The sequence below is a fragment of the Homo sapiens genome, chromosome 17 (assembly GCF_000001405.40).
Source record: "Homo sapiens chromosome 17, GRCh38.p14 Primary Assembly".
Classification (NCBI taxonomy): domain Eukaryota; kingdom Metazoa; phylum Chordata; class Mammalia; order Primates; family Hominidae; genus Homo; species Homo sapiens.
In genome coordinates, this window is record NC_000017.11 from 63,012,900 (window position 1) to 63,031,034 (window position 18,135).

Consider the following 18,135-nt stretch of genomic DNA (forward strand, 5'->3'; position numbering starts at 1 on the left):
CTGCCTTGACCACCCAAAGCATTGGGATTTCAGGTGTGAGCCACCATACCTGGCCAAGAAGACTCTTTTAGAATTTACTTTAGTGAGGAGTCATCTATGACAAACTTTACTTTTGTTTATCTGAAAATGTCTTTATTTTGCCTTCATTTTTGTAGATTTTTTTCTTTTTTTTTTTTTAAGAGATGGGGTCTCTCTTTGTTTTCCGGGTTGAAGTGCGGTAGTTATTTATAGGTGTAGTCCTAATGCACTGCAGCCTTTAGACTCCCGGACTCAGGTGATCCTCCTGCCTTAGCCACCCGAGGAGCTGGGCCTACAAGTGGATGCTACTCTTCCTGGTTACTTCTAGGATACTTTTATGCGAGTATAATTCTAGGGTGCAGTTATTTTCTTTCAGTATTTTACAACGTTATTTATTGTCTTCTGGCTTCTTCCGTTTTTTTCTGGTGATCAGCTGTTAGTCTAATTGCTACTCCTTTAAAGGCAACCTGCCACTTTTCTCTTTTAAGGTTTCTAGATTTGTACTGGTATGCCTAAGAGTATTTTTTTAATCTTTATCATTGAAAAAAATCTTTATATTCTGGCCAAGTGTGGCAGTGCACGCCTGATAATCCTAGCACTTTGGGAGGCCGAGGCAGGCGGATCACTTGAGGCCAGAAGTTCAAGACCAGCCTGGCCAACATGGCGAAATCCAGTCTCTATTAAAAATGCATAAATTAGCCAGACGTGTTGGCACATGCCTGTAATCTCAGCTACTTGGGAAGCCAAGGCAGGAGAATCGCTTGAGCCTGGGAGGCGGAGGTTGCAATAAGCCAAGATTACACCACTGCACTCTAGCCTGGGCGACAGAGTGAGACCCTGTCTTTAAAAAAAAAAAAAAAAAAAAAAAAATCTTTATCATCTATTCATGCTTTTATTCATTTTGTAGGATTTCTTGACTCTGCGGCATGATGTCTTTTGTCAGTTTTGGAAAACTATTACCCATTATGTCTTCAGATTTTAATTTTTCTCTCATTTTTTTTTCTGGAACTCCAGTTATACAATTGATAGACCATACGCATATCATCTCTGACTCTTAACATTTTCTCTTAATCCTTTTGTCTCTATATGCTTTATGCTGGATATTTTCTTTTGACTTACCTTACATACTTTTCATACTTTTCTTTCTGTTCCTCAGATTGTGTAATCTCAATTGACCTATCTTTAAATTCACTGATTTTTTTCTTTTGTCTGCTCAAATCTGCTATCATGTCTACTGAATTTTTTTTCAATTATTGAATTTTTCAATTCCAAAATTTCTATTTGATTCGTTAAAAATTTTAAATCTTTATTGGTATTCTTTATTTGGTGAGACATTGTTCTCATATTTACATTAAGTTCTACTGACATAGTATCCTTTAGTTTTTTGAACATATTTAAAATAGGCAATTTAAAGTTGCTTAGTATCTCCAACATCAGGGCTTCCCTCAGAGACAATGTCCACTGTTTGCATTTTGCCCCTTGTATATAGGTCATACTTTCTTGTATCTTTGTATGTCTTGTAATTTTTTGTTGAAGCCTGGACATTTTAGATTATATAATGTGTTATCTCTGGAAATCAGATTCTTCTCCTCGCCAGGGATTTATTGATGTTGTTTTGATTATTTGTTTAGTCACTTCTCTGAACTAATTTTTCCGAGTCTGTGTTATTGTGCATGGCCACTAATGTCTTTGCTTGGTTTGTTTAGTGGTCAATTCATACTAGACAGACGTTTTAGCAAAAGCACAAATTATTACATACTAGACTTTTGAATAACTACTGTGTTAGTAGAAATTATATTATTAAATCCATACATGTTAAGGTTCTACTGTAGTATTATAGCTAATTCCTTTGATTTTCTGGGTATTTAGTTATATCAGTAATGATTTTTAGGAGTCTGATTCTAATATTTATTCCCTGGTTTTTCACACAAATTGTTTACAATTTAGAATTATTATAAAAATAGTGCTTTGTATTGTGTATGCAGAGAATTCTATTTGTAGAGAATCAGAATTTTTTTCATACTAAGAGATTATTCCGAGGCAACAATAAATGTTATATTAAGAGAAAATGTATTTATGGAAAGATATCATTAGTGTTTTTATTATTACAGTTTTTTTCCTTAACCCTTAATGAATAATTGGGTAGATACTTTATTCTTTATATTAATTGATGGCTCATGGCTTATTTTTGGGGTTAATAAGGGAAGTTTTCTCATAGGTATATAATTTTAGGGTTTTCTTTTAAATCAACGTAGTCTTTAGTTTAAAAAGCATTTGTAATGAAGGGAATTATCTGTCTTAATTTGTCTTTTAAATAGCTGATCTGAATTTTTCTGTGGGCCACTAGATAAATATTTCACAGAAATAGTTTTTATATCAAATTTATTAAAATAAGATATTTATTTATTTATTTTTTATTCTTTAAGTTCTAGGGTACATGTGCACAACGTGCAGGTTTGTTACATATGTATGCACGCGCCATGTTGCTGTGCTGCACCTATTAACTCGTCATTTACATTAGGTATATCTCCTAATGCTATCCCTCCCCCCGCTTCCCACCCCATGACAGGCCCCAGTGTGTGATGTTCCCCTTCCTGTGTCCATGTGTTCTCATTGTTCAATTCCCACCTATGAGTGAGAACATGTGGTGTTTGGTTTTTTTGTCCTTGCGATAGTTTGCTTGAAATAAGATAAATTTTATCTGGCAGAGTTTTCCCCCTAACGACATGAGAATATTAGCTTTGAATTTTATAACAGTTAATTAAGATTTATGATGTGAAAATTATTTTTTTCTGATGCTTGTAGCAAGTACTGTGAAATTTTCTTAAAAAAAAACCGCTGTGTGGTTCTTTTAAATTAAATGAGCTATAAAGAAAATATGTTTATATTTTCTAAAAGTTCATATATATTAAATGTTTATATATATTTTCTTATTTTTCCTAACTTTATCACCTTAAATTATTTAATTAAAAAACTTCAAATACGCTTCTTTGAGTCAAGTAATGCCGTTGTTTGATATCATTGTGTCATTGTTTTGGTAAATCATTATTCAAGTATGCTGGTGGGGGTGGGGAGATACTGGCAATTTCAGATATTCGGGAATTCAGAAAGATTAGTATCATAAGCATAACATAGCCTTTGGAGAATGTGTGGAAGGCAGGAGATAGAGAAACAAAAGTGAGCAAAGTACGTAAAACTTAAACACAGATAATTGCTGTAATGTACTACAAGAAGTAGAATTTATTCCAAGAATACAAAGATTTTTGTACATCAGAAAATTAACAGAACTTTTCCAATTAGAAAAAAATTTTAAACCACATTATTATATGTTGAAAAAGTATTTTATAAAATGGTATAGCAATTAAAAACATCATTAAGGCTGGGTGTGGTGGCTCATGCCTGTAATCCCGGCATTTTGGGAGGCCAAGGTAGGAGGATCATGAGATCAGCACTTCGAGACCAGCCTGGCCAATATGGTGAAACCCTGTCTCTACAAAAAAAATTTTTTTATGGCTGAATAATATTCTGTTGTGCCACATTTTGTTGGTCTGTTCTTCCTTTGATGGGCATTTGGGTTGTTTGCATTTTTAATCTGTGAATAATGCTGTAGTGAACATTGGAATATGAGTTTCTTTGAGTTTTTTCATTTCTTTTGGGTATATAGGAGTGGGATTTCTGGGTCATATGGTAATTTTATGTTTAACTTTTTGATGAATTAACTGTTTTCCACAGTGGCTGCACACTTAATATTCTTTCTGTCATGGCATAAGGGTTCCAATTTCTCCACATCCTTGCCAACAGTTGTGATTTTCTTCCTTTTTTTAAAATTATAGTAGGTGTGAAGTGGTATCTCATTGTGGTTTTGACTTGACTTTTCCCTAATGATTAGTGATATTGAGGATCTTTTCATTAATGATCGTTTTATGTCTTTGGAGAAATGCCTGTTCTAGTCCCTTACCTATTTTTGAATTGGATTGCTTGTGTTTTTGTCATTCACTTGGAGGAGTTATTTATATGTTCTGGATATTAATCTCTTATCAGATATGTGATTTGCAAATGTTTTCTCCCATAATAGGGGTTGTCTTTTCACTCCATGGTCATGAGGATTTACTCCTATGTTTTCTTCTAAGAGTTATGGTTTTAACTCTTACATTTAGGTTGTTGATCCATTTGGAGTAAGTATTTGCATGTGGTATGAAGGAAGGGTCCAAATTCATTCTTTTGCATGTGGAAATCTAATTTCCCTAGCACTGTTTTTTGAAGAGACTATTCTTTCTCTACTGAATGGACTTGACACCCTTGCGTTACTTATAGATTTTTAGATTTCATTCATGTTCCTGGTTCATAACAGAAAGGATGACTAATCCCTTATCAGTAAATGATAAAGATAAATGATGAAGATAGTAGATATTTTCTAAATTAAATTTTTTATTTTTTACTAAAATGATACAAATGTATGGGCTGCTATAAATTTACAGTTAACTGATTTTTTTAAAGAACTATTTCTTTAGTTTCATTTTTAAGTTTTTGTTCACTGTTCTGTTGTATAGGATTTTAGTTTTTATACAGTGTTTTATTAATCAGCTTTAAATTGATGCACATGGAATACAGGGTCGTGTCCTGAGTGTCTTCTATTCGAAATGGTTCCCCTTAAGCCCAAACAAATTCTGAAACATTTCTTTATCTCCAGGTTTCCATGGAAATCATGTTACTTTTATACTCTCCAGTCACTCCTCAGTGGATTCAAGGTTTTCTGTTCAGACTAGACATGGAACGAGTGTGATACAATTTTTTTGTTAACAAAACATCTATTTCTAGTGTAAGAAAAACAGTTATGGGTACTAAACCTCAAATTGGTTAGAGATTATTTTTTAATGAAAAATGTTTCTTATAATTTATAGAGCGAGTAATTACTAGAACTTGTGAACAATATGACAGCAGCAGCAGGGCGCGGTGACTCACTCCTGTAATCCCAGCACTTTGGGAGGCCAGGGCAAGAGGATCTCTTGTGGCCAGAGATTGGAGACCAGCCTGGGCAACATAGTGAGAACTTGTCTCTAAAAAAAAGAATTAAAAAATAGCCAGACATGGTGACATGTAGTCCTAGTGAGGCAGGAGAATCACTTGACCCTGGGAGTTGTTTGAGGTTACAGTGAACTGCTAATGCACCACTGCACTCCAGCCTGGGTTACAGAGCAAGACCCTGTCTATGAAAAAAAAAGAGCAGTTATTTTCTAAATTAAACGTTTTACTTTAAAATAATTGTAGATTTACCTGCAGTTGTAAGGAATAGCCAGGCGCCGTGGCTCATGCCTGTAATCCCAGCCCTTTGGGAGGCTGATGTCGGCGGGTCACCGGGAAGTCGGGGTTCAAGACCAACCTGGCCAACGTGGAGAAACCCGTCTCTACTAAAAATACAAAAATTAGCTGGCACACGCCTGTAATCCCAGCTCCTCAGGAGGCTGAGAGAGGAGAATTGCTTGAACCTGAGAGGCAGAGATTGCATTGAGCTGAGATCTTTCCATTGCATTCCAGCCTGGGCGACAGAGTGAGACTCTGTCTCAAAAAAAAAAAATAAATAAATAAATAAAATAAACAAAAAATAAAACAAAAAAAGGAATAATATAGAGAGATCTTGTGTATATTTGGGTTCCCCCAGTGGTAATCTCTTACAAAACTGTATAGTATAATATCACAATCAGGATATTAACATTGATAACAGTTGAGATACTGGACATTTCCATCACCACAAGGATTCCTTGGTTTGCCTTTTAATAACAGTACCCCCTTCCCTCTCACACCTGCTCCCTTGTTAACCCCTGATAATAACTGCTAATCCATTTGAAAAATTTTATCACTTCAAGAATGTTATATAAATGAGTTGTACAGTATGTAACCTTTTGGGATTGGCTTTTTAAATTTTGCATAATTCTCACAGGACTCATCCAGGTTGTCGTGTATCAATATTTGTTGCTTGTTATTGCATGTATTCCATGGTATGGTTATACCACTGTTTAACCATTCACCCTTTGAAGGACAGCTGAATTGTTTCCAATTTGTGCTATTTTGAATAAAGTTGTGAAAAATATTAGTGTACAGGGTTTTGTATAAACATAATTTTTTATTTCTCTAGGGCAAATGTCCGGGAGTGCAATTGCCAGCTCATGTTTTAATTGCATGTTAATTTATAAAGGAAGTGCCAACTCTTCCATTTTACATTCCCACCAGCAATGTATAAGTAATTCAGTTTCTCCTCATCCTTACCAGCATTTGGTCTTGTCACTATTTTTAATGTTATTTATTTATTTATTTATTATGGGGACAGAGTCTCGCTCTGTCACTCAGGCTGGCATGCAGTGGCGTGATCATGACTCACTGCAACCTCTGCCTCCTGGGTTCAAACAATTCTTATGCCTCAGCCGCCTGAGTACCTGGGATTACAGTTGCATGCCATCACCCCTGGCTAATTTTTGTATTTTTTGTAGAGACTGGGTTTCACCATGTTGCCCAGGCTGATCTCAAACTCCTGGCCTCAAGTGATCGGCCCTCTTTGGCCTCCCGAAGTGCTGGGATTACAGGTGTGAGATACTGTGCCTGGCTTTATGTTAGCTATTTTGATAGGTATATAGAGGTATCTCATTGTAGTTTTTTAAAATAATTTTTATTTATTTGTATAAATTTATTGAGTATAGGTGTGGTTTTGTTACATACCTAGATTGCTTAGTGGTGAAGTCAGGGCTTTTAGAATATCTATCACCTGAATAACATACATTGTACTCATTGAGTGATTTTCATTTTTGTAATGGCTCATCATGTTAATCATCTTTTCATGTACTTATTTGCTATTTGCATGTCTTTGGTGAAATATCTCTTCATGTCTTTTGGCTGTCTTCAATTGGATGTATGTGTGTGTGTGTGTTGGGTTTTGAGAGTTCGCTATATATTCTAGCCTTTGTCAGATACATGGTTTGAAAATATATTCTCCCAGTCTATAGTTTTTGTTTGTTTGTTTGTTTGTTTGTATTTTGAGACAGAGTTTCGCTCTTGTTGCCAGGCTGGAGTGCAGTGGCCTGATCTCAGCTCACTGCAACCTCCCCGTCCCGGGTTCAAGCGATTCTCCTGGCTCAGCCTCCCCAGTAGCTGGGATTACAGGCATGTGCCGCCATGCCTGGCTAATTTTTTATATTTTCAGTAGAGACGGGGTTTCACCATTTTGACCAGGCTCGTCTTGAACTCCTCACCTCAGGTGATCCGCCTGCCTTGGCCTCCCAAAGTGCTTGGATTACAGGTGTAAGCCACTGTATAGTTTGTATTTTTAATCCTCTTAACAGGGCTTTTTATAAAGCAAAAGTTTTTAATATTGATGAAGTCCAATTTATTGTTTTATTCTTTTTCTTTTTTTTCAAGACAGAGTCTTGCTCCATTGCCCAGTCTGGAGTTCAGTGGTGTCATCATAGCTAACTGCAGTCTTAAACTCCTGGGCTCAAGAAATCCTCCTGCCTCAGCCTCCTGAGTAGCTGGGACTGCAGGCACACGCCACCATGTCTGGCTAATTTAAAATTTTTTTTATAGAGACGAGGTCTTATGATGTTGCCCAGGCAGAAGTTTTACTTTTATTGATGGTGTGTTTAATTTCTGTCAACAAATATTTATTCATTAATCATTAAGTACTAAGTATAGTATGCTGGTTGCTTGATATTTGAGTCTGGGTTAAATTCTGTGTACCCCATGTACACAAAAGTCAGTTCATCTGTAAATACAAGGTGTTGTTAGAATCATGTGTGACTGTTTGTATTAGTCCATTTTGTATTGCTATAAAGGAATACTTGAGACTGAGTAATATAAAGAAAAGATGTTTGTTTATTTGGCTCACAGTTCTGCAGGCTGTGCAAGAAGCATAGCACTGGCATCTGCTTGGCTTCTGATGAGGCCTCAGGAAGCTTTTACTCTTAGGGGAAGGTGAAGCAGGATCAAGTGTGTCACATGGCAAGAGTGGAATTGAGAGAGGGGTGTAGGAGCTCTTTAAAACAACCAGCTCTTACATGAACGAATTAAGTAGAACTCCCTCATTACCATGGGGAGGGCACCAACCCTTCATGAGCTACCCTCATGACCCAGATACCTCTTGAGGCCCCATCTCCAACATTGGGGGTCACATTTCAACATGAGATTTGGAGGGGACAAATATCCAAACCATGTCACTGGAATTTTTTTATCCATTGCATATTGAACTTAGTTAAAATTTTTATTGCGCTCTGAATAATGAATGCTCATAATAAACGATGTATGTGCAATAGTATGTAATGCAAGTATTTTTATACTAGAAAAATATATTTTTTCTTCCAGGGTTCTGTGGTTTGAATATGATGTGTTCCCACCAGAAGTCATGTTGAGGCATGGTCCCCGATGTGGTAGTGTTGGGAGGTAGTACCTTTAAGAGATGAGTTAGGTCTTTAAGGTGGATTAATGTCTTTCTTGTGAGACTGCATTAGCTTTTGTGAGAGCTGGTTGTTATAAAGCAGGTCAGCCTCCTTTTTCCCCTGTCTCTTTCAAATGTGCCTGCTTGACCTTCTGGTCTCTGCCATGAGTTGAAGCATCACGAGGCCCTCAACAGATGGGCCACCTGATCTTGGACTTCCCAGCCTTCACAGCTGTGAGCCAAAATAAACCTTTCTTCTTTATAAATTATCCAGTCTCAAGTATTCTGTTATAGCAACAGAAAATGGACTAAGACAAAATTGGTACTGAGAGAGTGGAGTTGTTGCTATAACAATACTTGAAAATGTAGAAGCAGCTTGAAAGTGAATAATAGATTGTAGAGGGAAGAATTTGCAGGAGCAGGCTAGAAAAAGCCTGTATTGCCATGAACAGAGCGTTAAGGGTAATTCTGGTGAAGACACCAAGAAATCCCTAGGACTAGGGGAATCTGGAACTTCTTTGAGATTACATAAGTGGTCATGAGCAGAATATTGATAGAAATGTGGACAGTAAAGACCATTCTGATGAGATTTCAGAGGTAAATGAGGAATATCTTGTTGGGTACTGGAATAAAGGCTATTCTTGTTAGTAGCAAAGAGCTTGGCTGCAATGTGTCCATGCCCTAGGTCTTTATGGAAGGTGGAATTTAAGAATGACAAACTAGGCCGGGCGCGGTGGGTCATACCTGTAATCCCAGCACTTTGGGAGTCTGAGGCAGGCAGATCACGAGGTCAGGAGTTCAAGATCAGCCTGGGCAAGATGGTGAAACCCCATCTGTACTAAAAATACAAAAAAAGTTAGCCGGGTATGGTGGTGGGCGCCTGTAATCCCAGCTACTTGGGAGGCTGAGGCAGAGAATTGCTTAAACCCAGGAGGCAGAGGATGCAGTGAGCCGAGATCATGCCACTGCCCTCCAGCCTGGGCCACAGAGCGAAACTCCATCTCAAAAAAAAAAAAAAGAATGACAAACTAGGATTTCTGGTGGAAGAAATCTAAGTAGCAAAGTGCTCAAGATGCTGTGTAGCTACTTCTGGCCACTTACAGTGAGCTATGGGAGCAAAGGGATGATTTAAAGATATAATTTATAATTAAAAGGGAAGCAGAGCATAAACATTTCAAAAATTCCCAGCCTGGCCATGTAAAGAATGAAAAAGAATGTTTGGAAAGACAAAACAAGAGTGTGACCTGATGACCAGTTACTAAAGAGATTAGCATGAATAAGGAGCCAGGTGCTAGTCATCAAATTCATGGGAAAATGGTCCCCAAGGTATTTGAGAGACCTTGGAGGCTGTACCTCCCATCACAGGCCCAGAGGCTGAGGAGGGCAGAATGGCTTTAGGAGATGGGCTACTACCCAGGACTTCAGGTGTCTACTCCTTGCATGCCAGTGTGGTCCTGCTTGGCTGCACCAGCTGTGTGGCTCAAGTGGCCCCAGGTGCAGCTTGACTCACCTCTCCAAAAGGTACATGCCATAGATTGTGGCAGCAACATGCTGTGGTTCAAGTGAGCCTAGATGTGGCTTGTGCCACAGCTCCAGAGGACGCATGCAGTAAGCCTGGCAGTGTCTGTGTGGTGCTAATTCTGCAGGTGTGCAGAATGCAAGAGGTGTGGAAGAGTGCTTTTCTTCAAGATTTCAAAGAATGTTGTAGAAAGCCCACAGGCCCAGGCAAAAACTTGCCATGGGGTGGAGCCACCACAGAGGTTCCCTACAAGGGCAATGCCTATGAGGGACTTGGAAGTGGGGCTGCTGCTGCAGCCACTGGCAGCATGCAACACTGGCCCAGGAAAGCTGTAAGCACCAGTGTACAACTCTATCCTGTGAGAACAGTTATGTGGGCTGAGCCCAGCAAAGTCATGGGAGCTGGGTTGCCTGAGGCCTTGGGAGCTCACCCCTGCCCAACAGGGGGTATTACCTAGAGTGTCCAGGTGATGGCACATAGAGCGAAAGATTATTTTGTGTGTGTATGTGTGTGTGTATGTGTGTATTTTTTTAAGACATGAGGTCTAGCTATGTTGCCCAGACTAGACTCGAACTCCTGGGCCCAAACAATTCTTGCACTTCAGCCTCCCACGTAGCTGAGACTACAGGAATATGCCATTGTGCCTGTCCCTGGCCGAAAGATTATTCTGGAGTTGTAAGATTCAATGTCTGCTTTGTTCAGTTTGGGACTTGCTTGGGGCTGATTACTCCTTAATTTTTGCTTCTCTCCTTTTTGGCGTGGGAATATTTACCTGCTGCCTGTCCCATTACTGTATCTTTGAAGTAGATAACCTGTTTTGATTTCACAGGCTTACAGGAGGATGTTAGAGTTTTGAGTTTGTGCTGAAATGAAACATCTTTCAAGGAAGTATCAAAATGTGGCCTTATAACAGAAAATAAGGATTCTGATTTGGTGGCAGAGGATACTGTGCTATAAAATAAAATGTGACTGGAGAGTGAACTAAGTGCTAAGAACTTTGAAATTGCATTTGAAACAAATCTGAACTGACTGGTTTTGTTTATATTCCACAAATTTGTAGCAATTCTGTAATAGTGCTTCTCATCAGATAGACACATGTATTCACACTCATGTGTTCATATCTATTTCCATTCATCCTTTTTTTATTGTTGTTTTAATATTAGGGTTTTACTAACTTTACAAGATGAATTGTGATAATTTCTGTATTTTGTGGTGCTTCTTTATCATATAAATTATTTATTCCTTGAAAGTTTAATAGAACTGTTACCAGAAAGGGGTCCCGATCCAGAGCCCAAGAGAGGGTTTTTGGATCCCGTGCAAGAAATAATTCGGGGCTAGTCCATAGATTAGAGTGAAAGCGAATTTATTAAGAAAGTAAAGGAATAAAGAATGGCTACTCCTTAGAGCAGCCCTGAGGGCTGCTGGTTGCTCAATTTTATGGTTATTTCTTGATTATATGCTAGACAAAGGGTGGATTATTTATGCCTCTCCTTTTTAGACCATATAGGGTAACATCCTGTCATTGCCATGACATTCGTAAACTGTCTTGGCACTGGTGGGCATGTAGCAGTGAGGATGCCCAGAGGTCACTCTCATTGCCATCTTGGTTTTAGTGGGTTTGGGCCGGCATCTTTACTGCACCCTGTTTTGTCAGCATGGTCTTTACGACCTGTATCTTGTGCTGATCTCCTATCTCATTCTGTGATTAAGAATGCCCTAACTTACTGGGAATGCAGCCCAGTAGGTCTCGGCCTTATTTTACCCAGCCCCTATTCAAGATGGAGTATACACACATTTGCGTGTGTTCTGTATTTCACAGAGGAAAAGGACTTTTATGTGCATTACCTAATTTAATCTGTGTAGCAAATATGTGAGAGACTTTATAGGTGAGATATTAAATGTATTGCCCAAGATTATACAGCTAGTAGGAATAGAAGCCATTGAATTCTCACTGTATGTATATTGCTGTCCCTGAATAAATGAGACAGTTGAGTGGAATTAAGTCTAAACTGAGACCTGGAAACTGTCTTTTCTTTGAAGTAGTGACTCAGATGTAAGAGATTTTAAGTTGCTAAGGATTATACCAGAGCAACAAGTAGCCAAAAATTTGGTGGCTTCTTGTGCTAGAGTTGAGAAATACTTTGAGAAATTTGTGTAAGTTTTTGCTCTTTGATTTTTTTCTTGTTTTTCATAGAAACATATTAAATATGTCAGTTTCCTATATGTTTTATTATTTGAAAAATCACCCTATTAGACATTAAATGTAAACTAAACTAATTACCATTAGTATTTCTCCATGGCTTTCCTCCTTATTAACTGTGTGTTAATACAGTTGATGGTAATTTTTTTTTAAGTATGCTGTAGAACATTGGTCTCAATCATTTTAACCTGCTTATATGTTCATACAATATTTACTGAAAATGTTAGGGATTCCCTACTAGAGTGGCACATGTGATGATTAGAAGTTGGTGAATGAAGTTTCATAATGTCTTCCGGTTGTGGACGCCTTCTTCATTTTTACTATCTTTGGGTAGAATCTTTGGAGATGGGTAAGTAGGGAGAGAGGGTTGGAAGGTAGAATGGAATGAGAAATAGTGAAGGCTATTGAAGAATTTCAGCAATGAGGTGCCAAATACAGTCTTTAAATAAGAGATCACGGGGCAGGCATGGTAGCTCACGCCTGTAATCCCAGCACTTTGGGAGGCTGAGGTGGGCGGATCACATGAGGCCAGGAGTTTAAGACAAGCCTGGGCGACGTGGCGAAACTTCATCTCTACTAAAAATAAAAAAATTAGCTGAGTGTGGTGGCACACATCTGTAATCCCAGCTACTTGGGAGGCTGAGGCATGAGAATCGCTTGAACCTGGGAGGTTGAGGCTGCAGTGAGCCGTGATTGCACCACTGCACTCCAGCCTGGGTGACAGAGTGAGACCCTATCTCAAAAATAAAATAAAATAAAATTAAATTAAAATAAAATAAAATAAAATAAAATAAAATAAAATAAAAAATAAAATATCAACATGAGTTGGTTAGGTACCTATGTCCTTCCATGATTCTGTAATATCTGTTGCTGGTGACCTTTGACTTCGTATCCTGTAAATCTCCCTTTTATTTTTGTTCATTCCTTTAAGCAACATTAACCTCCTCCTACTCGAGGACTCCTATGCATGCTGCTCCCTATGCCTAGAATGTTAGTTAGCTCCCTTACTTCATTGATATTTCTAATCAGAAATCACCTTCTCGGTGAAGTCTTTCCTTGCCACCAGATCTAAGACTCTAACCCCTTCTTCATGTCACCTTTTTATTTTGTCCTCCCTTTTAAATTTTGTCTCTGTAGCGATTATCATTATTCATCTTATATGTCTTGCTTTTCTGCTTTATTATCTGTCTTTCCTACTAGAGTACAAGTTTCATGTAAGTCCATTCTCTTTTACACTGCTGTATCCTCAGTACCTGCCCGGCACATAGCAAGTACTTAGTAATATTTGTTTTATGAATGAAAACATTCTTTATGACATTTTAAGGATAACTCTGGCATCAGTGTATAGAATAGACTGCAGTGAGGAAATACTAATTAAGAGACAATGAAAAGGCTCAAGAAGTGACAGTAGGAATAAAGAGACAGAGGATACACAAGGAAGACATTTTTGAGGTAGACTATATAAGATTTGTTTACTAGAGTGGCTGGGAAGTGAAAAGAATGGGAAGAAATAATTTGTTCTGAAATTTCTGGTTAGAGAGACTGGCACACTGGTACATTGCATTGTTCCAGGCTCATATTGGATATTCAGTGATCATATATTGAATGAATAACTATTCAGAGATAAAATGTTAAACTTTTGCACTAAATTTTGCTTTCAAATGTAATTTATTTAGCTCTGTGGTTTATTTCCATACTCTGAATTTCTTTGTAAATTACTCTTATTCCAACTTTAGGATTATGCTTCCCCAGGACCTCAGAACAATTTTAAATGTTACAAGCCTTTTTAGCACTGTACTGCAATATTTTAGCCTAAAGATTTATTCCCTGATCATCTACTTTCATAGGTTGGTACTTTCAAAGTTTGCTGCATCCCTCCATGTTGGTAAAGAAGGAAGACAGAAAGCTATGTAAGGCTTATGCAGTCAGCACAAGTCGTTTTGTGACTAATTCTTTCCCATTTAAAGGAAGTTCATTTTCATTCTATTTAGTTTCTTCCTATCCTCAACTTGTACAAGGCACTTGAAATTTAAAATAGTGGTTTCTTAGTACTGATTGAAGTTTCCCTGGTAAAACTACTTTCATAAATGATCAATTCACATTTTAACAACAATTTTTTTAAAGTATTAAGTTAAACAATTTAAACTGGTTTAGTTTGGATGCTATTGCTGAAGATCGGTTACTGTAAAAATCCAAGTGTATATCAGTATGCCACTTATAATTCTACATTCATAAATTTGAGAGTGCAACGAAGAAAAAGAAATATTGAGTAATAGACTGATTTTTGATTCTTTAAAAAAGGGATTTAAATAATGAGTTAAATATATGATTTTGTCCTTAATACGCTATTTTTCATAGGTATATTTTGATATAGAACAATGTTTGTGCCAAATTAAAATGATAAATTATTTTAATACTGTCAAAATTTTCATCTGAATATATTTAGATTTTTGTTTTCTTAGAGAACTTTATTTCAAAGAAAAAAAACCTCTTGATAACAGATTTGTGCTTTTGCAAATTTATGGTATTAGTCTATACCATCTCATGGTCTCCTTATGATAATATAGTTATGCTTCTGTTTTTTTGAGATATATGGGAATTTTAATACAAACCCATACATGTACTCATAATAGTGAAAAGTTAATGATAGAACCAAGAAATGAGTGCGATATTAAAGGGAGAGCAAATGATAGTTTTAAAATTGGTATGATACAGCAATCATAGACTCTTTGTCCTCAAGGGTCTCTAGAATACATTTCTATAAATGGGAAGCATCTTTCTTACATATTTTATTCCTTACGTTAAAGAAACTCAGTAACCAAAAATTTGACCTTAAAAACAAGTTCCGCACTCCCCCACCTCATTCCATTTTCATAGAATTTTTTTTCTATTCTATTCTGGTTCTATTTGACTCCCCAGAGAAAATAGGTTAACTTACTTTTTTCCAGATTTAGAGTGCTCTGACCTAGAGTCATGATTCTTTGAGTTGTCACTAAAAATCTTGCCATCAGAAGTCCCGGTTCTTTAGAGGAGCCCCAAATGGATCTTTAATACCTTACCGAGATGGAAAATAAGCTGGTCATGTCTGTAAACCAAGAATGAACAAGGTAGGGTTTGTTTTTTCCTTTAATATTAATTTTTAAATATTTCACTTGTGTTATATTGAAGGAACAAGTAACATTGAAAATGTTGTCTTTATTATTAGAATGAGACAGAATGTTTTGCCTGTATAGGGGAAGTAAAACTTCACTTCTACTCTCAGGGTCTCCAGCTGGACCTGAGAATTAAATTGACATAAGACAGATTAATAGAGGAAAAGCATACAGATTTTTACATGTATGCCTCCACAGGGAAATGATGACCTAGACATATATGTACTAAGTTGGACAAAGAGTAGTAAATTGTAAAAACATAAAAAGACACAGGGGCTTGGGCTAGGGCAGTTAATCATGGAGAAATGGCTAGGAAGATAAGGGCTTGTCTTACAAGGTTGGTTGGTTCAGATTTGCCTCAACTCCCCATCTCGGGTGATAAGAATATTTCTTTTCTCCAGGTACAGGAAGGACAGCTTTTACATTGGAGTTTCATCTCCACTTTTCAGGAAGAAAAAGGAAAGTCAGAGTGCCCTTCTTGGATCTGCTGGTTTTCAAGTGCCTTTAGTTCAAAATAATCCTTATGCCAAAGTTACATGTTTTGGGGTAGCATATTCTGCCATCTTTCATATGGTAACTCCATGGCTCAATAACTTTCTACTGAAATGTCTTTTATAAAACTACTTCATATGTTCTCAGGCCAGTGTTGTTGTTAAAAGAAAAAAAGGGAAAAAGGAAAACAATTACTTCATGTAGTCAGTAGGATATATCAGTGAAATAATATTGATAAAAAGATATATGATAAAGATATAATACTAATTTTATTTATACAAAAAATGGTTTTACTATTTTACAGGAGCCTATGGTATTGAAGTATCCTTATGTATTTGAAGATTTAAACTTGGAAAAAAATACTTTGTTCATCTCTTCATACAGTTGATTCAGATTCAGCATACATTTATTAAATGTTTATTATGCACCATGTTAAGTACTTTAACCAGAGTTATCCTCATATATTACACAGCCTACGTTAGCTTGAAATGTGTATAAAAATTTGAAAATTTTGGGATTATTTCCTTTTTGTTCACTAAAGATTTTATTTTTGGACTCCATAGTTTTGATTAGGAAAGAACTTGGTAAATAATATTTATAATTATTGTAAAGCTGCTTAGCCAGTAGTCTGTGCCAGACCAAGAGTGTTACTTGGAACAGAAATATCTCTTATCCATTTTGTATCCTTGGTCTATAGCATAATGTTTTATAATACATATTTGTTAAATGGCATAAATTTTCTGAGAAAGTCATAATTATTCTGGTCTTATGTTTTGTGATTTAAAAAAATTAGATATAACTAGTTTTCAATCATTTTGAAATAATTTACAAACCCTTTAGAACAGTGCTGTTCAGTACAACTTTCTCTGATGATAGGTATATTTTATAAATCTGTGTTGTCTTATACTGTAATGGAAAGAACTTATGGCTGCCTCCAATTTTGGTTCATTAATTCACTCCACAGAGATTTTTTAGTGCTTACTGTATATCAGAAATTGTGATTCATGATGGAGATATTTCCTAGTCTCAGGGAGCTCAAAGTCTAATAAAGGAGAGAGATTTCTAAACCAACAGCAACAATATACTTGGAGGATAGGCTGGGAGGAGAGGAGAATGCAAGTTGAATTGTGAAGGACAAGTTAATAGTGGTCCAAATAGAGAAAGCAGCATTTGCTAGTAGATGGAGAGAGGAGACTATTTGGTTCATTCCAGTAACTGCAGTAATTCTTTCTATTTCTGGTACCTAGGGTGAGTAAGAAAGTTGCTAAAAAGAATGGACAGTTAATCACAGTAATCACTCATCAGTTAATGACATGCTTTGTGTGCCATGCTAAAGACTTTGCATTATATCCTTAAAGCTGCAAGTGAGCCACTGCAGGGTTTTAAACTGGTAAGTAAAAATCATTTTAACATCTAAGCTTAGTCCTCTTGACCCCATATTTATTAAACTTGAACTTTTTAGAGGAAATATGAACTTTATGTTAAAATTTGAATTTGATTAGATCCCGTAGAGTCTCCTCCCTGGTCAGTTTTGTTATTGTGGTAGTTAGGATGGTTAGAATTACTAGAGATACAATTTAAAATACTGAGACATTGAAGGGGATTTATACATTCATATAACTAAGAATTCCAGCAGTAGAACAATTACAGGTAAATTAATTCTGAAGCTCAACAGCATCACCAAAGACTCAATTTCTTTCTCTCTGCCATTTTCAGTGTATTGTTTATTGTTCTCAGGTTTGTCCTTACATAGCTGCAAGAGGACTGCAGTACCTTCAACTTTTACATCCACACACAGCATTGTTCATAGACTACTAGAACAACTAATCCCTTCTTGGGTCCCTTTTTAAGTTAAGGGAAACTTTCCAGACAGACACCCCATGCCACCCCCCACCCCCCGATTCACCTCACATCCAGTTGGCCAGGTTATATCACTTAACCTTTCTTAAGCCAATTAATGAAATTGCAAATGTTGTTATTGAGATTCATTTACTAATCAAAGTTCAACCCCTGAGAACCAGCCTCCCTTGAAGCAAATACCTAAAATAAAGTCAGCGTTCTTTTAGCATGAAATAAAGGATTGGATAGGCAACTAGTGGAGTCTGCCACTTTGTTTTTCTAACCTAGTTTTGTTTTTTTTAATCTTAAAAATTAGCAGTCTTTCTCATACCAAGAGTTAGAAGGACAAGCCCAAATTTGCCTAAGATAGGAAAGACAAGACCACCTTAAGTTTGTTAATAATCCAAATATTTTGATAAGAAGTTTGCAGAAATGAGGAGCTGTTGTAGTATAAATTAATCTTTCTGAGGCTTACCACTTCGAAGATCTTAAATGA

General features: G+C 36.8%; 1 protein-coding gene across 20 annotated transcripts in view, besides 1 other annotated feature; it reads left to right on the forward strand.

Annotated features, from left to right (window-relative positions):
- TANC2 (tetratricopeptide repeat, ankyrin repeat and coiled-coil containing 2) overlaps nucleotides 1-18,135 on the forward strand; it is a 461,469-nt gene that overhangs the window by 46,665 nt on the left and 396,669 nt on the right. The gene's annotated exons all lie outside the window — the stretch shown is intronic.
- Nucleotides 15,509-15,803: a silencer, noted in NCBI's record as "tiled region #13093; HepG2 Repressive non-DNase unmatched - State 24:Quies, and K562 Repressive DNase matched - State 9:DNaseU". NCBI's record gives its function as "represses a minimal TATA promoter and a strong SV40 promoter by Sharpr-MPRA in HepG2 and K562 cells {active_cell/tissue: HepG2 | K562}" and the evidence as "EXISTENCE:reporter gene assay evidence [ECO:0000049][PMID:27701403]".